This window comes from Homo sapiens, chromosome 12, assembly GCF_000001405.40.
Source record: "Homo sapiens chromosome 12, GRCh38.p14 Primary Assembly".
Taxonomy (NCBI): Eukaryota; Metazoa; Chordata; class Mammalia; order Primates; family Hominidae; genus Homo; species Homo sapiens.
Genome location: NC_000012.12, coordinates 72404514 through 72431194, shown reverse-complemented (window position 1 = coordinate 72431194; position 26681 = coordinate 72404514). Strand labels below are relative to the sequence as shown.

General features: G+C 33.9%; 1 protein-coding gene across 4 annotated transcripts in view; it reads right to left on the bottom strand.

Annotated features, from left to right (window-relative positions):
- Positions 1-26681, bottom strand: part of TRHDE (thyrotropin releasing hormone degrading enzyme) — a 583493-nt gene that overhangs the window by 239564 nt on the left and 317248 nt on the right. The window lies entirely within an intron of this gene.

The following is a 26681-nucleotide window of genomic DNA, read 5'->3' as shown; positions in this document are numbered from 1 at the left end:
GTACTATTAAAATAAACTAAACAAAAATCCTAAGAAATTCACTAAAAAACAAAGACTAATAAAATAGTTCAGCAAGATTACTAGCTATAAGTTCAATATGCAAAAAATAAGCTGTATTTCTATACGTCAGAAATGAGCAATCCAAAAATAAAATTGAGAAGACAATTCCATCTACAATAACATCAAAAAGAGTAAAATGCTTAGAGATAAATTTGACAAAAGAAATGCAAAATGTGTATACTGAAACTATAAAATATTGAGAAAATTAAAGAACCTATTAAATACCTAAATTAGTTTTAAAAAGCATCCTATGTTTATGGATCAAAATACATGATATTACAATTACAATACTCTCCAGCCTGACACAGAGATTCAAAGCATTCTCTATCAAAATCCCAACTTGTTTCTTAGCAAAAACTGACAAGCTGATCCTAAAACTCATATGTTAATTTGAGGGATCCAAAGTTGCCAAAATGACCATGAAAAAGACTAATAAAGTTGGAGTAGTAACACTTTAAGGTAATAGGAATCAATAAATCACTTGTAGTACCAGGATAAGGACAGACATATAGATCAGGGGGACAGAATGCAGAGTTCAGAAAACAATCCTCATATTTATGGTAAATTAATTTTTTCACAAGAATGCAGTGACAATCCAATGTGGAATTAGTTTTTTCAAAAACTGGTATCAGAAAAACTGTTGTGTGTGTGTATATATATATGTGTGTATATATATACACATATATATACGTGTGTGTATATATATACATGTATATATATGCACATATATATACGTGTGTGTATATATATACATGTATATATACGTATATATGTATATATGTATACATGTATATATACATGTATATATGTATACATGTATATATACATATATATACATATATACACACACACAACAGTTTTATATGTGTGTATTATATATATACACACACATACATATATATATTGCATATATATATATGCAAAAGAATGAAGTTGGATTTTCTTACATTCACATCATGCACCAAAACAACTAGTAATAAAAATGGATTATAGACATAAACATAAGAGCTAAAACCATAAAATTCTTGAACAAAAATACAGTGACCTTGAGTTAGGCAAAACCTTTTTAGATATGACACCAAAAACAAAACAACAACAAAACATAGCTAAATCATATTTCATCAAAATTAAAAATTTTGTGCTTTAAAGTATATCATCAAGAAAGTGAAAAGACAACCCACAGAATTTAAGAAAATATTAGAAAATCTTTTATATCTATCTGATAAGGGACTTCTATGTAGAATATACAAATTATTCTTACAACTCAATAATAAAAAAATTTAAAAATTGACAAAGATCTGAATAAATATTTCTCCAAAGATATATGAATGGCCAATATATACATGAAAAGATGCTCAACATCATTAGCCATCGGATGCCAATCAAACTATGATGAGATTCCACTTTACACTAAGTAGGCTATAATTGAAAAGACAGATAATAACAAGTGTTTGCAAGGATGTATAAAAATTGGAACCCTCAATACTGGTGGCTGGAATGTAGAATGGTCCAGACACTTTGGAAGATAGTCTGGCAGATCCTTCAAAAGTTAAATATAGAGTTCCCACATGATCCAGTAATTCCACCCCTAGCCATAGACCCAAAAACAATGAAAATACATATCCACAGAATAACACGTACATGAATATTCATAGCAGCATTATTCATAATAGCCAGAAAGTAGAAACATGTAAATGTCCCTCACCTGATGAATGGATAAATAAAATGTGGTATATCTTTTTTTAATTTCCTTCTCTGTAAATTATTATTATTATTATTATTATTATTATTATTATGCTTTAAATTCTGGGTTACGTGTGCAGAACGTAACGTTTTGTTACATAGGTATACACATGTCATGGTGGTTTGCTGCACCCATCAACCTGTCAGCTACATTAGGTATTTCTTCTAATGCTATCCCTCTCCTTTCCCCTGACCCACCAACAGGCCCTGGTGTATGATGTTCCCCTCCCTGTGTCCATGTGTTCTCATTGTTCAACTCTCACTTACAAGTGAGAACATGCAGTGTTTGGTTTTCTGATCTTGTGATAGTTTGCTGAGAATGATGGTTTCCAGCTTCATCCATGTCCCTGCAAAGGACACAAGCTCATCCTTTTTTATGGCTGCATAGTATTCCATGGTGTATATGTGTCACAAAACGTGGTATATCTATACAATGGAATTTTAGCCATAAGGATTAATTAGATACTGATTCATGTGGCACATGAATGAACTTTGAAACATATGCTAAGTGAAAAGAGCCAGCCACCAAAACCACATATTGAATGACTCTTATTTATATAAAGTGTCTATAACAGGCAAAGCTGCACAGATATAAAGTAGATTCGTAGTTAGATTTTTAGGCAGGGTATGGTGAAGAAAATGGGGTTTCCTTTTTAGGTTGTAAAAAATCTCTGAAATTCTGCTGGCGATGACTACACATGTTGTGAATATACCAAAAATCATTTGATTGTACAATCTAAATGGGTTAGTTGTATAGCATGTGAATTTTACATATATTTTAATGGCCTGCACAGCATTTATTCCTCCCTTCTAATAAAAAAGAAATAAAAATAAAGCTGTTATATTAAAAATAAAGCTCAATAAAGCTGTTATATTAAAAAAATTAATCCAGGCTTTGTCATTCAAAGACAGAATGCTTGATCCTTTTTGATACTTTATCCATAATTGACAAAAGCCTTTCAGCAATTACATAAATATATACATATACACCCACAGATATAGGCATAGATATAGAGATAGAAATACATCTTAAACACACACATATTAGTATTCACCATCACATTGCTTACAAATGACACATTATGGAATTAGTGAAATAATTCAATATATCCAAATCTTACAATATGCTGTGCTTGTCATCAAGAGTCATTATGTAGATACATTTCTTCCTATGAAATGACATAGAAATATGTCCCTAGTATATGGTTAGGACAAATTTTATAAGGGTATAACACAATGAATAAACAGATTCAATCTTTGCAAAATTACATATATATGAAATAATATGAACCAAAATATTAAAAGGAATAATGTCTGGCTGTTACGACTACTGTTAACATTTATTTTTTCTTTGTTCTATGTTGTCTGAGTGCCTAACAATGATGTGGAGTTTTATAAAACAGGTCACTTGACTTCATCTTAAACCTACTACACTTCTGGAGGTATGACCTAGGAATGTGAGTTTTCCTCACGTTGTCCAAGTCATTCTGACACAGCCAATCTGGCACAGATGTGGGATTTAGAAATCAATAGTCTATCTAATTTATGATCTAATAAAAGAATTACCTTCACAGCATCTTGAACATATGGCCATCCAGCCTGTGCATGAACACATAAAGAGAAAGGGCTCTCTCAATCTCAGATGGCAGATTATTCTATCATCACAGAGCTCTATTGGTAGTATGTTCCCCTTATGTTATCTAAATATATTAAAGCCACCCTTTTGGTGCTAGTTTTGCATTCTCAATAACTTACGTGAATTGCAATAACGATCATTAAGTCAATACGAGAAAGAGTGTAAAATATCCCATGTAGTGATACTTTTCTCTAATCCCTTCTTCCCCTTCCCCAACAAAAGCCAGGGATACAAATAGAGGGAGACGGTATTGAGACTAAAAGAAGAGTAAAAACCAATGAGTCCTCTAGTGTGATATCTTCCATGAGCTAAAAGGAAATCATACTACACAATGTGAAACACAGTAGGATGAAATGACTTACAGCCCTACCCAGAAGCTGAAGAGGACAGGCTGGGTCCTGGGGAAAAGAGATGTTAAAGAGCTGTGGAGAGAGTTCTAGGGGAGAAGAAAGTGCCCATAATCAGGGCCCCTTGTAGATCAGGCACTATGGCACACATACGCAAATCAGAAAGAAGCCTCTGTCTCCAGGTAATACTACTGTCTAGATCAGGGGTTGGCAAACTATAACCTGAAGGGCCAAATTTGGCCACATCCATTCATTTACAGATTGTCTATGGGTACTTTCAGGCTACAACAGCATAGTTGCCACAGAGACTGTATGGTCCACAAAGCCTCAAATACACCACTGCTGTAGAGCCCAGATAATATAATTTGCCAGAATTTGTTTTAGAACCTAGATAACTGAAGATCAACTTTTAGTGTTCTGGGCCATCCGAGGGTCAGGACTATATATAGGTGACATTTGGCCACTAAAGTAAGAATGATTAAGATGAAGATGAATTTTCTTTTCATGGAGAAAAAAGTTTGGCAATGATAAAAATATGAGAAAAAAACAAAAACAACAAATGGAGTATTAGCAGTCATTTTCTCTGTGGCTTACTAAAGGATGTTTTTTACCTCTTAATAACTGGTCCCTTTTCCCAGGAAAAATAATCCCTAAGAATGTAAATTACATAAGAACTGGTTTTTTTTTTTTAAATCTATTTTTGTGGTTGCCATATCTCTAGCACCTATAACACTACCTAACATATAAAGGCCCTCAGTAAATAGCTGTTGAACTTGTCCTGTCTCTACCACCTACCACATAAGTGGCCTTTGGCAAGTAACCTACTATTTCTAGTCTTCAGGTCCCTCACCTAGAAAATTAGGAAAATAATAGTTCCTACCTCTTAAGCTTTTTGTTAGGATTAATGGAGTAGATACATGTAGATTATTTATAAAAGAGTCTGGCACAATGTGAAGTATTTATTACTGTTGTTATTTTTTAAATCTTCAGTTGTACTATATAATTAAACCACTGAAAGTGTTTTTCTTAGGAGTTTTAAACTTTCCTCAGTCTCTTTCACATAAAGTTTGCAATTTATAAACATGTAGAATAGGAAGCCCCAGGATATATGACATATTCTTACAAACATATTTTACCCATTAAAATACAATAACAATCTTATTACATTCAACAGAGAGAAAATATGTATGCCAGTGTGATTATTTCTTCAGTTAATCAGACATATGTTTATTTAGAATATCTCCAATAACATGTTACCACATACTTTAAAACCAAATCTACCTTGAATTATTGAGAGGTTATACATACTATTGTCACTTGTATATAATTCCATTTACTGCACACTATAGCAAATGAGTCCTTAATAATGTGAGCATCATCCCTGCCACCATTTCAATTGTTTGATTCTGTCACCAGGGTTTATTGGCATGAACAGTTGATGTCTTGCTTTTTTTTGACCTTTTGTAATTATATATATATATGAGTTTTGGCAACTCCAATAGTTCTAGAGCTTCTTAGTTTCTTTAGTGAAAATTTATTCTTGTTGTTGTTGCTGCTGCTGTTGTTAACTACAACACTGAGTATGGTTTATTTGTCACAGATCCATAGTAAAAACCAAATAGTAAATTAATTAATTAACTAGTTAATTAGTTAATTTCCACCAATAATAAGAGGCAGTATCAAGGTATTTTTTTAAGTTGCTTCTTTCAACATATGTTGGAAACAGAAATATGGTGCAGAAACTTTAAAATCTTAAATAAATGGTTACTTAGAATTGAGATGAGAGAAAAATGTTGTTTTTTCCACTTATCTTCAATCCTGTGATGAAAAATTATTTCAAGAGCATTCCATCAGCTGTCACAAGGTGAGGATCTTAACTGAAGACAAATTATGGAAACTCAATTGATTTGATAACTTAAAGTAAAACTGTTAAGCTAAATAGAGCCAACAGACATACACACAGATGATCTGGTTAACAGATTCTTTCAAATTCTTCTATAAGTAAGAATTTCAAAACATCTAAGTGTACTGTGGAACACTTAGCAATCAGACAAAAATAAAGACTGATATTAACTATATTCAGCAGGCATATTTAATCAGGAATATGCAGGTTGCATTAGCTATAGAAATGGAACCAAACAGAAAAATAAAACCAATCCGCTATAGTTTTCCAAGGAAAATCATTGAGGGTTTTGCTGGCCAATGGCATGCCAACATTTTCTGTGCTACCCTTGCAAAGCACTTTTAGAGTAAGCCAAACTAACAACAACAACAAAATGCATATGCAATTGGTCTTTTTATAAAGCTATCCTAAACCTAAAATAAAATTCAATGTAAAACACAAGACCAATATTGCTTTCATTTTTCTTATAGGAGTAAAGTTTTTATAGTAACTACAGTAAAAGTGACTATAAAATGGTTTCATAGCACATTTTTAAAGGACTTTTTTTTCCTTTCTGTGATTTCAGTTTTATTTTAGTTTCAAAGTAGCTACTCTCAAAGAATTACTTGACACTATGACAAAGGAATTATGTTCTAGATGAGAATTTAGCATTCTTTTACTAAATACTTATTAAATGAATATTGGGTGTTAGTTTCTCAAAGAGATACAAAGAATAAATTGCTTCTTCCCCCAAAAGCTTTAATATTAAAGAGACAGAAAACATAACAAAACAACAAGGGAATGAATAGTGATGAAAGTTTATTTAGAGAAGTATAAACAAGTTCATACTGGGAGAATAGATGGAATTTAGCAAGAAGAGACAGGAACTTCAGAGATGAGACAGCATTTGAGTTGGTCCACATGTTAGTTTTCTACAACTGCTGCATAACAAGTTAACACAAATTTAGTGGCTTAAAACAATACAAATTGATTATCTTATAATTCTGGAGATTATAAGTCCAACACAGGTCTCACTGGGCTAAAAGCAAGGCACTGGCAGCCTTGTATTCTTTTATGTTGAAGCCCTAACCCGTGGTACTTGTGAATAAGATCTTATTTAGAAATAGGGTCTTTGTAGCTTGAAGCAATTTAAGATGGGGTCATTAGTGAGGGCTTAATCCAATATGATTGATATTCTTATAAGAAAAGGAAAACAGCATGAAAGACAGAGACACACAGGAAGAATGTCATGTGATGACAGAGGCAGAGACTGGAGTGTGGCAACGGCAAGCCAAGGACCACCAAGTATCAATGGCCACCACCAGAAGCCAGGGAGAGGCAAGGGAAGATCCCACCCAGAGTCTCAGAGCATGGATGCCCCTATTGACACCTTAGTTTTGGGCTGTTAACCTCTAGATCTTGAGAAAACACATTTGTTGTTTTGAGCTACCCAGTTTCTTTCAAATAATTTGAACAGATTCTTTAAAATTTTGTGGTACGTGGTTATCCAGTTTGTGGTACTTGATTATAGCAGCTCTAGGAAACCAGTACAAGGGGCAAATCTGTTTCTTGTCTTCTTTGCAGCTTCTAGAGGTCCTTAGCTAGTGGCCCTCCCCCTCCATCTTCAAAGTCAGCAAGGACAGGTCTATTGCCTCTCACATGACATCACTCTGAACTCTGCTTCCATCATCACATTGCCTCTCTGATTCCTCTTCTGCTTCCTCTTCCACTTTTAAAGACTCTTCCGATTACACGCAACACACCTAGACAATCTAGGAGATCTCCCCATTTAAAGTTAAACTGATACGCAACCTTAGTAAACTGATTGCAAATAGCAACTACCTATTTGCAATCTTAAACTCCCTTTGCCATTTAATATAACATACCCATAGTTTCCCAAGATAAGAATGAGGATGTCATTAGAAGAACACTATTGTGCCTACAACAATCCATGAATTAAAGTTCCTCAAGGTGTTGTGGAGAGAACACCCATATCAGAATCACTTTGTTGTCTGTTAAAAATGCAGATTTCTAGGCTTCTCTTGCTGCGTTATGAGTGGGAATCAGAAAATCCACACCACCTTAAGAGATGAACAGAATTTTTGACTGGTGGTCTTGAGAGAAGAAAAGTAGCTCAAACGGAGGAACACTTTGATCCTATGTAAAGAGGAAGGTAAATAGAGATGCTCCTGAACTTAGAATGGAGTTGCATCTCAATAAACATATAATAAGCTGAAAATATTGTAGTTGAAAATTCATGTAATATACTAACCTACCAAACACCATAGCTTAGCCTAGTTATTAAATGTGTTCCACTTCTGTACCATCATAAGGTTGAAAAATCTTAAATAGAACCATCATAAGTCAGGGATCATGTACATTGTGATCACGAAAGTATAAATAAGTATAGTTTTAACATAAGGAAGAATTCATAAAAATAAGTTTGGATTCTAAAAGAAGTTTGGAAATGAGGATAGGACCAGAGTCAAAAGAACTCTGAGGATCTCAGTACATTTTCTGCTGCTATAATAAAATACCTGGGACTGGGTAACTTATAATGAATATAAATTTATTGGTTGACAGTTCTGGAGGCTGGGGAGTCCATGATCAAGGTCTTGGGTCATTACATAGTAGAAAGTGAAAGAGCAAGAGCACAAAGATGAGAAGCCACTCCCACAAGCCCTTCTTATAATGAAAGAGCCCTCATGACCTAAACACCTTTGATTAGGCCCTATTCAAAAACATGGTCACATTCAGGATTACATTTTCAAGACATAAATTCTGAGGGACACATTCAAACCATAGCAAAGGACCAATCTAAGTAAATTTATCTTCACTCAGAAGGTCAAGAAGCTGAAGACGTTACAGAAACAGTCAACTATTTCTTGCGCATATTTGCTTTCTCTCACAGAAATAAATTTGTTCCAGGAAGAATAAAATGAAAGCATTCTGTATTCTTTAAAGATATAATATTGAAATGAAACCATTTTGTATTACTCAGTTATGAAGCCATAAAAATTACTATTCCTATCTTAATCCATTTCTCTCCAAGAGTAAATCACACGCTAGAATTGAAAAGATAGATTGTTAATCAAAATGTCTCAGTCACTTGACACTGCATAAACCAGAACACAGTATCTTTTCTTTCACAGCTAATGAATATAGACTTGAAGGATTGTGTAGGGAATGCAAAAATTAAATGGTGGAAGTTGTAATAAACGTTACCCCTTTCCATTTCAGCGTGATTCTGACTGCAAGTTAACCAATTTTCAAACTCTTGTCATTGTTTTAAGGTGCAGCACAAAATTGGCAAGATTTTCTCCTCTTGTCACTGTTCTAAGAACCATAAAACCCCAACTGAAAAGAAACCACTACATTTCTATAGATAAAAAATTAATAATATAATATGAGAAATGAATAGCAGCAACCCCAGAACATTTTAAACCATTGTTTCAGGATGGGAGATAATAAATCATTGTAGCTATGAAAAAGACACAGGACTTTTTATAACAATAATTCTATGTCAATATTAAGGAATAAAGGTAGACATATATATCCATTGTCTCTGGACCATAAAATATTTGGCATTCTGGTTTACACATTTCTATTTAATAGGATATATGAGTATATAACCATTACAGCTTTTACAAAAATATCCAGAGGCAGTGATGATTTTAAAACTCACAACTGAACGCTTCTACCAACATAGATGAGTCTAAAAAAGCCTAAGTGTGCATCAAGAAGTGACTTGCAGGTTTTCCTAGATGTTTCCACTTTAACTCATTGTCCAAAATAATAATAATCAAACTAACTAAAATCAGTATAGTGTGGCAGATATTTTTTCAAAAATTCCCACAGCAATGTCTCCCACCCCACAAGGTCTTTTACGACATGATTTTGCAAATTCCCTTCCCTTTGAATGTGGCTTGTTTTACAGACTCCGTTGTAACCAACAAAATGTAGCAAAAATAATGCCACATAACTTTAGAGGCCAGATCAAAAGAAGCCCTACATCTCCTGCCTTGGTTCTCAGACAGATCTTTCTCTGTGCTTCTTCTCTGGCCATTACCTATAGAACTAGTTGCCATGCTGTAAGAAAGTCAAACCGCATGGAGAGACCATGTGTACCTATTCATATCATCAGCCACAGCTGAGCTCAGGCTTCAAGTCCTGCTGGCCCAGTTATCAGATACATGAGTAAGAACCCTCCAAATTATAACCCAGCCATTCAAGAGTCACCTCCAGCCCTAGGATCTCCCAAGTGAAGCCTTAGACAGTGTGGAGCAGACACAAGTGACACACTCATGAGTGTAACAAAATGGTTGATGTGTGACTAATGGGGGATTAAATTTCCAAGACATAAATTTGAGTTGGTTGAATCTGAGTTGATTTCTTATGCAGAATGAGATAACTGGAACGTTCAACCTAGTTCATATTTGGTATAGAAATGATACCAATCCCACCTGGGAGGTGGAGCTTGCAGTGAGCTGAGATCGCGCCACTGCACTCCAGCCTGGGCGACAAAGCAAGACTCCATCTCAAAAAAAAAAAAAATCATACCAATCCCATAATGAGTCTGTAAGAAAGGAATCCAATACATAAGAGGTATTCAGCATTTAGGAATCATGCTATGTGTATGAAAAGTCTACGACCTACAGGTTCAGAGCCATGCCCAGGCTTTAAACCAAGTTTGAGAATTTTGTTTGAGAGTATGTTGGGAGTTTAGCTACTAATAGTTGAGATATATTCCCTACATTTGATGCCCTAAACATGAAGTCAATCCCAATATGTGTGAAATTGATCAACAGCATACCTATATACCATCTGTGTGGTCAGTCTATATGATTGGTTTTATTCCCTAAACTCTGGTGGAATTGAACCCAGTCTATTTCAATGGTAATTTAATCCCCTTAGCTTTTTCCAAGACCTTCTCTCCAGAAATGAACTCTGCTTTTAGGAAGTTTTCAGATTCCCCTATCTATGACTAAGAACCCATATGATGCAAAGAACCATGGATAATATCATATATATCTTACGATCCACACCCATTGAATATAATACTGGCTTGAATCAGAAAGGTCCTAAGTCCTTTATAGTTGCTTATGTAAATAGTTTGCACCTTCCAGACATGAGACAGTCTTTCTGTCCCAAGATTGTTTCCTCAGCTCCTAACCATCATTCTATGAAAATCAGAATACCAGGAGTTGCTGCTAAGATAAAGAATTAAGAATATGAAACAAAACAAGGCCAAAGTTCCCAAAATTAGGGCTGGACTGCCTAGATACTAACTGTCAGAGTTCTAAACTAGAGACGATCAACTGCATTCAATCTAATTTTAGTATTGATCTTAGAGACATGGGGTGGCCTGAATCTACAGATGGTGTTTCATACTAGCTGTAGGATGTAGCAGAATGCAGAGGCCAATAAAAAAGCACTGCTTAATAGAGATGACTGATCCTCTGTTATATTCATGATGAAAACCTTTGAAATAATGTATTGTAAAATTTCACGTGTTTTTATTTATTTGTTGACTACAGTTTTGCTAATTTGTATTTTGCTTCTTTGGAAAATGAGACATTTCTCCATTTCCATTCTTATTTTCATGATTCTTCAGTGACTAGCCTAGTCTAGCAAAAATCTGCAATTCACTGGGATACAATTCATCTTGGTTTGGGAAGGAAGTGCATGGCAACTAATGTTTATTTAATTATTAAGTAACCACAATTTGCTAGACTATTTACATCAGTTATCTCCCTTAATCTGCTAATTTATAGGAGGTAAGTGTATTTTTCTTAATCACAAAGTGATATAGTTTGGATATTTTTCCCCACCAAATGTAATCCCTAATGTTGGATGTGGGGTCTGGTGGGAGGTGACTGTATCATGGGAGCAGATTTCTCATAAATGGTTAGCACCATTCCCTTGGTTCTGTTCTTGAGATAGTGAATGATTTTTCATGAGGTCTGGCTGTTTAAAAGTGTATGGCACACTCCCCATCTCCCTCTTGCTCCCACTCTCACCATGTGACATGCCTTCTCCTCTTTTGCCTTCCACTATGATTAAAAGCTTCCTGAGGCCCTCACCAGGAGCAGACGCTGGTGCCATACTTGTACAGCTTGCAGAACCATGAGCCAAAAAACCTCTGTTCTTTATAAATTACCTAGCCTCAGATATTTATTTACAGCAACACAAAATGGACTAAGACAATTGGTCACACACCTCTTCTTCCATCATTTTGTATACAACTTTTTACATTTTTTCTCTAGCAACTTCAACAAGAAACTTCCTGGATAAATAGACCAGTTTCTTTAAACACCAATTATACTATCAGAATTTAGTGTTATTTTCTGTTCCTCTAGATCCATCTACTCACTCTTGAGTCTCCATCTTAAGTGTTTAAATAGCTCCACCCTCATTAACTCTTGGATGGCAAAGCTGCTTTTTCCTAGAATTACTTCCTACCCCTTTCCCTTTATAATTTAATATCTCTTTACCTAGATTTCAGTTGAAGTAGCAGTACTACTACTCATTCTATATCCCAAGAAAATAAAGTAACTTCTGCTTATCACCATTATCCATGTGCTTCCTTGGATAACTTTTTAATAATAGAGATTGTTCTGAAGCCTTCTCTTCTTCTTTAGCATCAAAATGCACAGAACACAGCAATGTTCCTTGGTAGCAGAAACAAAAGACAAAATTCTATTATAAACTTGATCTCTGACTCAGCACATGATTTGAAACAATAAGACCTCTCTATATTTTATTTTTCTTACCTGAAATACTGGGACAATAATGTTTTCCAATTATTGGTGTGAGGATTAATGAAACAATGTTTGCAAAGCACTTTGAGTACCTCCGATGAAAGCTGTTCTATTGTCACTCTGATTTCCCCTTAAAAGATGGGGAAATCAATTTACCAGTCTCTATGGAAAGTTTTTCTATTGTCACTCTGATTTCCTCTTAAAAGATGGGGAAATCAATTTACCAGTCTCTATGGAAAGTTTTTTAAAAATCCATTTTACTCACTTTTGTAACACAGCTGGAGGACAAAGAAGAAATTCACATAGGAAAAGAATCAATAATTTTGCATTGCATGTCTTCATCAGAACCTGAAGCAGATTACACTTCTCTTGTAAGCAAATGACAGCTTTTAAATATTTTAAATATGCATGTATCTTAAAAAAATTGGCATTTTACTAGTAAATATCACATATTTTAAGTCATCCTTAAACTTAACATTAATTAATCCTTAATTAATATTTACCTTACATTCTGCCACTAAAATTGAACACAAAAAGAGAAACACTGAAGTAATGAAAACTTTGATTCATGCCTGAATAAATGTGAGAATTAAAAGTTACTCTTGAGAACGAATTTTGATTCACATCTTTATGCCTCAAAGAAATTGAGCAACAAACTCTCTGCTGGTTATTTTTGATAGCAAGAATTAATAAAGTAGGAATTATGGCAAGATTTAAACTTCAGCATAAGTTTAAAACCTGAAGCCTAAAATATTTTTTAAAATAATAGTTGGGACATCTGAAAGCACAAAACATCTTAGTTGAGTTTACAGTGTCTTCTAGACAATGGCCATATATTAAACCTACAGTTTTCTGCTGCACTTAATAAAAAATATGTGTTCTGAATTTGCTCGTGAAATTGAGAAAGAAGAAAATATGAGAAAGACTAATGAAATCTGGTCAGTAAACTTAAAAAAATAAAACCTATTAATATTTGTATTGAGGAAATTATGATGATCTAGAAGTACTTAAGGCTTATTTAGTTGGTTAGGAAATTCAGAATTAAGCTAGGAAAAACTTCAGTAACAATATGAATTATATGCACCAAATAGAATCACACAGCTCAGTGATTTGGGGGAAAAATCTGTCACAGAGCACTAATGTGAATAACATAAAGTAAATAACATTACTAAAGTCCCACCTTCCAGTACAATTTTCCCCCTCTGAAAAATAACATCAAATTCAAAATTACCAATATTATACTTGGTACAGATAGAATCAATTTCAGGCAACTTGCAAAACACAATTGTTTTACAGAGAGACTGAGTAATGCTGTGGCTTGTCCCAGACTGTACAGGGCATTTAAAAAAGTAATCAAATAAGCCAAAGCAGATGTGAAATTTGAAGAATAAAAAGAGTCTAATTGTTAATCTCTGCCAATGCTTAGTTCCTACCGATTCCAATTACATGTCTATTGAGATAACATATTAAAACTTAGGACTATCAAAGTTATGTTCCAGCCTGTTTGTGATTACTACACTTGTCATTTAAAGGTTAATAGTCCAGGACCCAAAATCAACATATGAAAAGCAATAGAATTTCTATATGCTAACAGCAAACAATCTGAAAAAGAAACCAAGAAAGTAATCTCATTTAAAGTAGCTACAAATAAAATGAAATACCCAGGAATTAACTTAACCAAAGAAACAAAAGATCTCTACAATGAAAATGGTAAAATATTGATGAAAGAAATTAAAAACAACACAAAAAAAGGGGCAGATATTCCATGTTCATGGATTGGAAGAATCAAAACTGTTAAAATGTCCATATTATGCAAAGCAATCTGCTGATTCAGTGCAACTCCAATCAAAATATCTTTACAGAAATAGAAAAGTAGTCCTAAAATTTATATGGAACCACAAAAGGCACAGAATAGCTAAAGCTATCCAGAGCAAAAAGGACAATGCTGAAGGCATCACATTACCTAACTTCAAATTATATTGCAAAGCTACGATAACTAAACAGCACGGTACAGGTATAAAAACAGACACATAGACCAATGAAACAGAATAGAGAACCCAGAAATAAATCCACATATTTACAGCTAACTTATTTTTGACAAAGTTGCCAAGAACTTACTTTGGAGAAAGGACACTCTTCAATAAATGGTGCTGGAAAACCTGGACATCCATATGCAGAAGAATGAAACTAGACCTCTATCTCTCACCATACACAGATGTCAAACCAAAATGAATTAAAGACTTAGACCTAAAACTATGAAACTATTAGAAGTAAACATTGGGGAAACTCTCCAGGACATTGGTGTGGGTAAAGATTATTTGACTAAGACCTCAAAAGCACAGAGAAAAAAAAGCAAAAAATGGGGTCACATAAAGCCAAAAAGCTTCTGCACAGCAAAGGAAACAATCAACAAAGAGACAACGCACAGAATGGGAGAAAATATTTGCAAGCTACCCATCTGACAAGAGATTAAAAAGCAGAATATATAAGGAGCTCAAATGTTTCAATATTTAGAAAACAAATATTCCAATGTTTCAAATAGGCAAAAATCTGAATAGACATTTCTCAAAAGAAGACATACAAATGGCAACAGAAATATAGAAAAATGCACAACATCACTAATCATCTGAGAAATGCAAATTAAAACCACAATGAGATATTATCTCACCAAAGTTAAAAAAAACAGGCAATAACAAATTTATCAAAAAAACAGGCAATAACAAATGCTGGCAAGGACGTGGAGAAAGGGGAATCTTCATACACTGTTTATGGTAAAGTAAATTAATTCAGCCACTATGGAGAGCAGTATGGAGGTGCCTCAAAAAACAAAAATAGAGCCACCATATCATCTAGCAATCCCACTGTTGGGTATACATTTTTTTAAAAAAGGAAATCAATATAGCAAAGAGTTCCTCACTCCCATGTTTACTGCAGTGCTATGCACAATAGCCAAGGTATGGAATCAGTCTAAATGTCTATCAACAAATGAATAAAGAAAATGTGATACATATACACAATGAAATATACAGCCGTTTAAAGTAAACAAATCCTATCATCTGCAACAGTGTGGATGGCACTGGAGCATATTGTGTTAAGTGAAATAAGTCAGGCACAGGAAGACAAATAGTGCATGTTCTCACTCATATGTGGGAGCCAAAAAAAAAAAAATGAACTCATGGAGAGAGACAGTAGAATGATTATTACCAGGGGCTGAGAAGGGTAGTGGGGAGGGGGAGCAGAAAGGAGGAAGAGGAGATGTTTAAAGGAACAAAAATATAGTTAGACAGAAGGTATAAGATCTAGTGTTTGGTAGCACAATAGGGTGACTATAATTAATAATAATGTGTTGTATATTTCAAAATAACTCAAAGAATGATTAGAATGTTCCTAACAAAAAAAATGATAAATGTTTGAGGTGATGGATACCCCAATTACCCTGATTTTCCTATTACACATTGTATGCCTGTATCAAAATATCACATATATCCCATAAATATGTACAACTATTATATATCCATTACAACTCTTATGTATGCATAACAACTAAAAATATTTTTAACTAAGTAATACATTAATGAACTGCAGCAGTGGTTCTCCAAGTGAGGTGTTGAGGAGCTGGGCAATGCAAAGCAGCATGATATCACATGGAGAGCTCATTTGTATAAATTTGTATCAAGGACTCCACTTCCAAAATACTAAAATACGGATTCATGAACCAACGAACAGTAGGAGCCCCTGTCAAAGACAGAAGTGCCTGCATAGGCCTCAGGTCAGATAAATATAACTAAACTCAAATCCTTGTTTAGTCCCTTACTAATGATGTGATTTTAGACAATTTAAAAAATTTAAGTCATTAAATTTTCTGAATCGCAGTTTTTTCATTAAAAATAAAAGCATAGTAACACTGCCATCACGACTATGTTGTAATAATTAATGGTTTAATGTATGTAAAGAGATCAACAAAGAGCAGTAAATGAATAAATTATGTTCTCCCTGTCCTCACTCTAGAAGATACTAGGAAGAGATCAATTAATACATTCCATGTCTCTACCAAAATGAAACACTATACAAATGAAAGCCTTTTAGGGAAAGCAATTTTACAGCTAGCCACCTCTAGTAGGTTATTATAGTAATTAATAGCCTTACTGCCAAGATGCTGGTCTCTATTGCTTACATAACTGCAAATTAAGTCACTTTCTTCCTGACCTTATTCAATTACCCTACTCTATTCTTAATTCGACAGAGTTGTTATTGAGAAATTCTTTGCCTTTTTCAATTCATTGTTTAAAACTAAAATCTATGAATGTCTTTTTAATCCTTCTTTCTTTATTTTTCTTCTAATTCTATGTAAAGAAGCATAACCTCAAGTAGCTAATAGCTAATATTGGGTTAGTATTACAGCACATGAATTTCGTTGTCTCTCTTGTCTCCATTAGTCTTTCAAATTTATCCAAAGGTGTTCCTGGGCTCTGATGTTTCCCCCTACTAATTTATAAAGTAACTAGTTTCATTGCTTCCTTAAAAACTCGTCAGTTTATAAAGTATTGATTTTAAAATTTGACCCCGGTCATACAAATATTTTTTCATGTTTAGAAACTTTCTGTCAGCATGTATCCTCAAATCTGCTTACAGCAACTTTGAATCCATTTGTAGAAGTAAAATAAAACACAAATAGTAATAGTCCTCAATCCCAAAACAATATACAAGCAAATGAAAAATTCTGACAGAGGCAGCCTATATAAATACTAAAGTGAAATACACTTTAAAAGATTTACTCTTTAAAAGTCACCTTACTAAGAGCTAGCATACTTATCTCATTTTATTGTTGCAATTGCTTAGTGATCTAATATCACACAATTTTATAAACAAAGGAATGAAAACCTTATTAAATTAAGTAACTTTATGAAAGTGGCATAGCTACGTTGCTGGGATTTGAACTCAAATTTGTACTACAGCAAGGCCAACAATTCTTTGGATTTTACCATAAGTGTATGACAATCTAGATTTGGAGGATGGTGATGCTCATGAACTTTTCTTATATCCAGAAACCTCAGGAAAATTTTAAGATTTAATGTGTGTATTAATTATAATAGATTAGTTTTTGGCAAGCAATTTACTATATTTGGGACTCGTTTTTATCTATAAAATAGGCTCGATTGACATTATCTTTCAGAAATAAAATTAATTACATACATAGTTTAAAATTTCTAGTAGATATATTTAAAAAATGAAATAGGTAGAGCTAATAATAATTTTAATAAGGTTTAACCATATATGTAGTCCAAATATCATTTTATTTTACATATATAATCTATATAAAAATTAATAAGATTTTTTATATTCTTTTTTCATACTGAATCTTAGAAATCCAGATACACATTTTAATTAGCCACATTTCAAGTGCTCAATAGTCACATGTGGCTAGTGGCTACCATATTGGATGGTATGGCTAGCTGTAGAGAACTTCAAGTTCTCTTCCACCTAAAAAGCCTAGAAACCTATCATTCTATAGTTTGCAAAATAAACACAGACTGAAAAGAATTTTTTTAAAAAAATTATGCCATAGAATTGCCTGGGTAGCAAAGTAACACTGACACTTATGTGGATTTGTTTTTGCCTAACTGGATCTTTTAAAAATTATTAATTATGAAATAACATATATAGAAGTAGTATATAAAACACAAATGTAATCTTAAAAATAATGATATGTTGCAACCTCCCAAATAATCACCATCTGGGTCAAGAAAAAGAACTTAATAAACCACTTCATAACCAATGACCCCACAAGTGTGCACCACCCCGATCACTGCCCATTTCTTCCCCCTTAGAGGTAAATACAACCCTGATATTTGTGATCATCATTTCCTTATTTTTCTTTAAAATTGTATTACCTAGTTATGCATCCCCCAAACTATATACAACCATTTAGTTCTGCTGTTTAATTTCATATACATGAAATTACATAGTGTGTATAATTTTGAGAATTTCAACATCTGCTCAAAGCTATCTTTATGGGACTTATACATGTTTTAGATATAGCTCATTCATGTTCCTGGCTTTATTAGTTCATTATGTGACTGTAGCATTCTACTATTTACTTACACTCGAGTTCTTTCTGGTGTTTGGCTATTATAAACAGTTCTGCTTTGAACATTGTTGTCCACATACCTTGAAGAGGTACATGCCCAAGAGTATCTCAAGAGTACACTTAGGAATGAACTTGCTGGATCATAGGACAGGCCCATCTTCAACTCTACTAGATAATGACAAACCTTCCTAAATTGATGCATAGTTTACATTTCCACTAGCAATGAGTTTTGCTACAACCTCCCCAGTGACTGGTATTGTCGGATTTTATAATTTTTACCAACCAGATGAGAATACATTAGCATTTCATTGCAGAATTATTTCTCTAATTATTAATAAAATTGGTTATCTTTTTATATACACATTGACCATTTGAATATTCTCTTTTAAGTTGCCTCTTTTTCTTACTGATTTGTATGTCTTTATAAGTCCTGGATATTTGTCTTTCTGTTTGGCTGATTTGGGTTATATAAATTTTTAAAAATTTCCCCAAGTAATTTGTCTTACCACACTTTTAACGGGGTCTTTTTGATAGACAGATGTTAATTTTAATACAAATCAATGTGTCAATCTTTTCATTTATAGGTACTGGGTTTTATATCTTGTATAAGAAAGACTTTCCTACCTTGAAATTATTCTCTTATATTATCTTCTAGACCTTTGTATTTGACCTTTGACATTTCAGTCTTTAATCTGCATGAAGGTCAGTTTTTATATGGTGTGAGATAGGTGTCAACTTTAATTTTATTTCAGTTTGATATCCAAATGGTCTAGTATTATTTATTAAAAAGTTTGTCTTTTTCCACTAATCTGCAAAGTTATCTCTTCCACTGCTCAAATATCCCTCAATAAGTGGGTTTCTTCTTGGGCTTTCTACTCTGTTCTTTTCCTCAACTTGCCTAGCCCCATGCCACTCATAATTACATAACTTTAAAATATGTTTTGATACCTGATAAGTCAATTCTTCCCATCTTATATTCCTTTAAGATTTTCTTGGCTTTTCTTGACCCTTTGAAGTTCCCATATACCTTTTGAACAAGCTTGTTGAATTGAACAAAAGAGCCTGCTAAGATTCCATTTGAAATTCATTAAATATATAGAAATCAATTCTGTCTCAACTGAGATAGAACTGAAATTTTTAATAATTTTTAATATTTTACTCTATTAATTTTTGTTCTAAGTTTATTTCGGTCATTTTAATATAAATTTTTATATTTTTTCCACAGAATTCTTATACATCTTTGTTAGATTTATTCCCAACTGCTTCATGTTTTCTTAAGTTACAGTAAAATGTGTATTACCTCATTTTAACTGTTATTTTGCTGGTATATAAAAATGCAATTCATTACTGTATATTAATATGCACCTTATTGAATTCTCATTAGTAATAATAGTTGAATCTCTTTGATGTTCTATATAGAATCATGCCAAATGTTATCAGTTGCAATTTTGTATGGTTTTTTTTTTTTTTTTTTTGAAATGGAGTCTCGCTCTGTCGCCTAGGCTGGAGTGCAGTGGCGCAATCTCGGCTCACTGCAAGCTCCGCCTCCTGGGTTCACACCATTCTCCTGCCTCAGCCTCCCGAGTAGCTGGGACTACAGGTGCCTGCCACCACGCCCAGCTAATTTTTTTGTATTTTTTTGTATTTTTAGTAGAGACGTGGTTTCACTGTGTTAGCCAGGATGGTCTCAATCTCCTGACCTCGTGATCCACCCACCTTGGCCTCCCAAAGGGCTGGGATTACAGGCGTGAGCCACCGGGCCCGGCCTGTATGTTGTTTTTAATCTCAAATCTTTTTTTTTTTTTTTATCTGCTTATCTTATTTGGGTCAGGCTTCCCATGTAATGTTGACTAGAAGTGGTGGACAGCCAGCCAGCATCATTGTCTGATTCCTGATCCAAAAGAGAAAATGTTAAATGTCATTTTAGGTTTGATTCTGCTATGCAATTTTTGCAAATAATTTTTCATTATATTAATGATGCTGATCCTAATTTGCTAAGTTTTGTCATGAACTAGATGTTGACTTTTATTGTTTTTCTGCCTCTATTAAAAGAATCATATATTTTCTCTCCTTTTTTAAATTATGCTAATTTATACTGATTGATTTTTTAATGTCCAACTAATTTCACATTTCTAGAATAAATTCAACTTTGCAGTGTATTTTTATATTTGCGAAATTTTGCTTAGAATTTTTATCAATGTTCATAAATGAGAAAGACCTATGATTTTACCTTTTATAATGGCTGTGTTAGGTTCTGATATTAAAGTTATGCTGGCCTCATAAAATAAATTGGGAAATGTTCCTTCTTTTCTACTGATATTTAAGAAGCTGTATAAAAATTATTTTACTGTTTGGTAGAATATGACAGAGTTCAATAATAAAGCCAGTTCAACTCAGAGTTCTTTGTAGGAATATTTTAACATATTTTGTTTACTTAATGGATAAAATACTATTAATATATATATATTTGTTTGTCAACATTAGTAAGTTTGTTTTTCTAGGAATTTGTTCATTTTACTTAACTGTCAAAACCATTGACATGAAATATTAATAAAGCCCTAATATTATTTTTAATATGTATGGTATCTGTGATCTTTTTATTCCTTAAATTATTTGTACATTCTTTCTTATTCCTTGATTATTCTCAACAGATATTTGTAAATTTTATTATTCTTTTTAGAAAATCGACTTTTTGGCTTTATTGATAACTTCTTTTTTGATAGTTTTATAGTATTTTAATTGCTGCCCTATTCCTGGATAATGCAAGGACCTTCAAACACTTGAATTATATTTATTCCCCTCTCAATATATATGTTATCATTACCAGTTACTATGGTTCTATTTTATGCCCCACAGTACATTATTATCATTTTAAGTAATTCATATTATTTATATTTGTCTATAATTTCCTGTCATTATGTTTGCTTTCCAGACTTCCCCTCTGGGATCATTTTCCTTCAGCCTAAATCACATCTCCAAATCATACTGCAATCACAGGTAAATCCAAAATTGTACTGTCTTACAGTAACAAAGGTTTATTTCTGTCACATTTACATCCATAGAGGATCAACTAGAGCTCTGCTGAATGTGCTCTTCATTTCAAAATCAAAGCTTAAGGGGCATCCTCTATCTGGGAAACCAGTTTCAACAGTGCTCAGGAGTGTTGCTTGTCACTTCCACATACATTGCATTGTCTGATAAAGTGATATGGTCAAATCTAATGTCATCAGGACATAAGATCCCTATTAGAAGAAGCCAGAAAAACTGATATTAATAGATTAATAGGATCTGCTCCACCATGTGTTTCTATTTCTATTAGATAGTACCTGTTGTTGAAAAACTCAGTGTCTCCCTGAAAACTGTATTTTATTTATTGAAATTCTTAAAATATATCTTCCCTGGGTATGCAATTCCCTTAGCATTTTTCCATTTAATACAATAATGATATATTTCCCTTTCTTCTGATTCTATTGTTATTATTAAGAAGTTAGCTCAGTCTAGCTGCTATTCCTTTAGAGATAATTCTCTTTTATTTCTGGCTTCTTTTAAGATTTTAACTTGTATGTGGTGCACTGATGCTTCACTATGATATATTCAAGTGTGTATTTCTTTCCACCTGTCATGCTTGAGATTTGTTGGGCATCTTGAATCCATAGACTAGTATTTGTTCTGTTCAGGAACATTTGCAGCCAACAATTCCTCAAATATTTCCTCCTCTCTATTCTTTCTATCCTCCTCTTCTGGAACTCCGATTAGACATATATGAGAATTCATATATTAGACTTTCTCTTTCTGCCCTCCATGGCTTTTTATTGTCTCTTTTATATATTTTTTCATCTCTTTGCTTCTTCATGCTACATTCTGGAAAGTTATTCTGACTGATCTTCAGAACAATTATTCTGGCTGATTCATCTATTGAGTTTTTACTTTCAGCTATTGGATTTCTCTTTTGTAAAAGTTTGATTTGGTTTGTCCAGTCTTCTAGGGTACTTTTCGAGTATTCTATTATAGGAATATTTTTATTTCTTTAAACATTGTTGGCATGGTACTTTATAACTTGTGGCTATAATCATAATATCAAGTCTTTGCAGATTTGTTTGTTTTGTTTTGTCAGCTGGTTCTTAATTTTAGTGCCCTTGTTTATTTGTGTGTGATTGGTTTATTATTGCCAGTGAGTGCCCATTAGTCATTTTCCTTAAAAGTGTGTTTATAGGTACTCTTTAAGGATAAAGATGAAAATACCTTTCTGCAAAAAACATTTTAATTTACTTTTGCTAGGTTTCTATGGATACTGAGAACCACCAGTCTAGTAAATTTGGGTGTTTAATAATCACAAAAGCCAGGTTGTGGCTATAACTTTTCTGAGAGTTCCTGCTGTGCTCTGACTGTGTTCCTCAAAAGTTCATGTGTTGGAAACTTTATCCCTCTTTCCTTATGAATGAATTAAGGAATTAATGAGTATGTTGCCCTCATCAATAGATTAATGTCACTATTAGAGAGTGCTTGTCTGAGAGTGGTTACTCTAGTATCATGCAAGTAGGTTTCTTATAAAAGCAAGTTTTTTCTAGCTTGCTTGCCCTTGCTCTGTCACAATGTGATGCCTTCTGCTGTGTTATAATGCAGCAAGAAGGCCCTCACAGATGCTGGCTCCTCCATCTTGGGCTTCCCAGCCTCCAGAACTATAAGACATAAATATTTCTTTATGAATTACCAGTCTGTGGTATTCTGGTACAGCAACAGAAAACAAACTAAGGCAATTCCCTCTTCTGCTTTGCTAAGCATCAAGGTCATGTTCGTAGCAAATGCTTGATACTGGGAGAAGGAGGCTAGTTTACTTCTAATTACTTCTCATTCCTTGGGGTTCCCAGATCTATAAGAAATGTGCTGTCTACTACACTTCCACCTAGAGTGCGCCCTGTGTTTGTTTACCCTTTACCCTATTCCACTTTTATTCAAGTTTAACTCATTTGACAAACATCCCCAGAGAAAAGTGAATTAAATGATTCTCTTATGTTCTGATTCCAGTTTTTATTTATAGTTTAACTTGGTAGATCTTTACTATATTTTTAAATCTTACATTTCTAAAAACACATTTATTTTCTATTGTATGCAGCACTTTTAGTTGTTTTATTCCAGTGCAAATGTTGACCCAAATGACCTCTCCTTGACACTTTCCTCTGAGGGTGACTACTGGACAAATTCTAAAATGACTCCACACTAGCGTTCTCCTGTGTAGCCTAGATCCAGCTAATGGAAAATGCTCCACGTCTCTTGCTGTGACTCTGGAAGTGCAGGTAAATCAAAACACATCAGCCCTCTCTTAGCTTTATCATAAAGCAATCTTTCAGTCTTTTATGACCTCCAGATTTCTCAGACAGGAGTCAGACCTCAGTTCAACCTCTGCTTTAGTTTTCTCACATGCAAGTCAGACATGAGTCCTCTACAGCTTCCAACTGCAGGAGACTCATTTAAAGTTCTAAGTTGTCTCACTGAAGCCTTCCCCATCTAGCTTTCAGAGGAAAGAACAGACCATTTCTCTCCCAAAGGCAACAGAATAGAAACTCTCCACAGAGCAGTAGCTCTCTGAAAAAAAACCTTTGTGACAACTCATCCTCCCAAATCTGATTCTTTAAGGCCTTGATCACGCTGAAGAGTACAAGACTCACGGAACAGCTTGTCATTTTGTAAATTCTGCATGGGAAGCGAACTGCCCTCTTACTTGACATCTTCCTATGGTTTTCACACCTCAGTCAAAAATGAAACATTCTGTACACTTTGATATCATTTGTCATAATGAAAAACAAATTATGAAAATTTGAGGTTTTTTAAATTTTAACACCACATTTAGCAGTAATCTGTGCAATGCTATGGTGAGAAGGCTAGTATCTATTTTCACCAACTATTTACTATTTTTAAAAAGATACAAGTAAAACTACATGATGTGCTAAATTGTACTAAATTGTTGGAACTTTATAATCACTAATTTATAAAAACATCCAAACTCTAGCGGTGAAAACAAAGGGAAATAAATATGTATCTCATGAAGAAAAAAGAGTGGGAGGACAGCAGTAAAGTTTTCTAAAAGATCAGGAGATATTTAACAAAACTTAAGAGAATCTCTCCCTTAGGAGAAGAAAAAAATTCACCCTCACCAAAAAGATCCAGGAACCCCCACTCACCTCCTATTAAAACAACCAGCACCTAACAATATAAACCCTATTTCCTCTAAAAGCAGAGTGCCTCTTACATGAAGAAAAGCCCAAGTATCTTGACCTCTGCTCAGAAGCAATAATATTACAAGCCAAGAGATTTTTTCCTAGACTTTGCTGGACTTCCACTGGGATTCTCAGTGGAAACAATAATCTGTTGACGTATAGAGTACTACACAATTCCCCTGGAAGCCCTAATTCTCATAAATCAAAAGTTCTACTTCAATGCAACTGATCTATTTTGGAGAAGGCAATCCTGCTCAGAATTAGATTTGTCACGGCACATTCTTTTAATCTTTAGCAGTATGAGCTTTGTAAACACAGTATTTGAAATAATACAGCATATTATTTTATATAAAAGCCTTGAGAGTCCTAGATTCCTGAATACTTTCTAGTAAAACAGCCAAGTTACTTAAGCTGCTGCTTCTTCTCCTCCTCCTTTTTCAAGCAAGAGAGAAGTAAAAGTCCTACGAGCTAGTGAGCCTTTAAAGAAATGTTTGAATATTGAGGGAGTTAATGAGACAGAGATAATGCTGTTTCAGTTGGCAAGTCCTACAAAGCAAAGGTTTGTGCAAAGGTAATAGTGATATGAATTGAAGACAGGGATACTGACCATCTATTTGATATTTACACCCTCAGAATCTTTTCCTCTGTAACTGTTTCACATATGTAACACTGCCAACTTGCTTGAGAATATAATCTTCATAAAATATTATGTTTTCCTTTACACTGAACAAGCATTTTCCCTTTCGGAAATATCAAAAAAGGCTTTAGTGAGGCTTTAAATCAATCTACATAAAATGTCTTTGAAGTAGCCAAGTGGTTTTCTGTTTGCTTTTAATTTTCTCTTCTGTGGTCCAAGCACTTGGAGAACAGATGTGAGAGAAGACTTTGGATAGAAAATTAAAGAAATAACAGAAGCTTTCAATGAGAGAGACTTAATGTAGTGGTGGCTCTGGGGAAAAGTATAATTAGGAATTAAGCAAATATTAGAGACCAGAGATACCAATGTACAGCTAGAGACCAGAGATGCCAATGTACAGATAACTCAAATCACAGTAGGTGACCATTGCAGAGAGTGAAGACATCATAAACATAGTAAACACAATGATCTATGGAGAGATCCATTTAAATGAACAAAAATAGGCAAGTTATAAACAAATATTCTACAAGTTCATAGATAAAAAATTAAACATTATCTCCTCTATGAAGTCTTACATAATCTGTTCCCTCACCCACAGCCAAGTTACGATGTCTTGGGATAGTGCTCTATCAGATATATCTATACATGATTCCCCTTATTGTCTCAGTTTTGTCTTTTGTAAAAACAGCTAATGATAAGGATTAAGTGGAATTAACCCCTAAAAGTCCTTAGCACACACATTAAACATAGTAGGCACTCAAGAAATAATCATTATAATTATACTGTAATTTGTTACTTAGATCTGTCTCCCTCATTACAATCTCCTTCAAGAATTTATCACAGCTAATCCATAGCTACTGTTAATTATGAAGTTATTGTACACTAGGTATTGGTCTATGTGATTTACATGCAGATAGTATTATTATCCTCATTTTATAGACAAGGCACTGACAGGATAACAAACTTGCCCATGGTTACATATCTCAGAAGTAGCAGAGGTAAGACTTTTAACCCGCATACTCTGGTGATATGGTTTGGCTGTGATCTCACCCAAATCTCATATTGAATTGTAGCTCCCATAATTCCCATGTGTGGTGAGAAGGACCTGATGGGAGGTGATTGAATCATGAGGGTAGGTCTTTCTTGTGCTGTTGTCATGATAGTAAGTTTCGTGAGATCTGATGGTTTTATAAAGAGGAGTTTCCCTGCATAAACTCTTTTTGCCAGCCACCATGTAAGATGTTTCTTTGCTCTTCCTTCACCTTCTGCCATGATTGTGAGGCCTCCCCAGTCATGTGAAACTGTGAGTCAA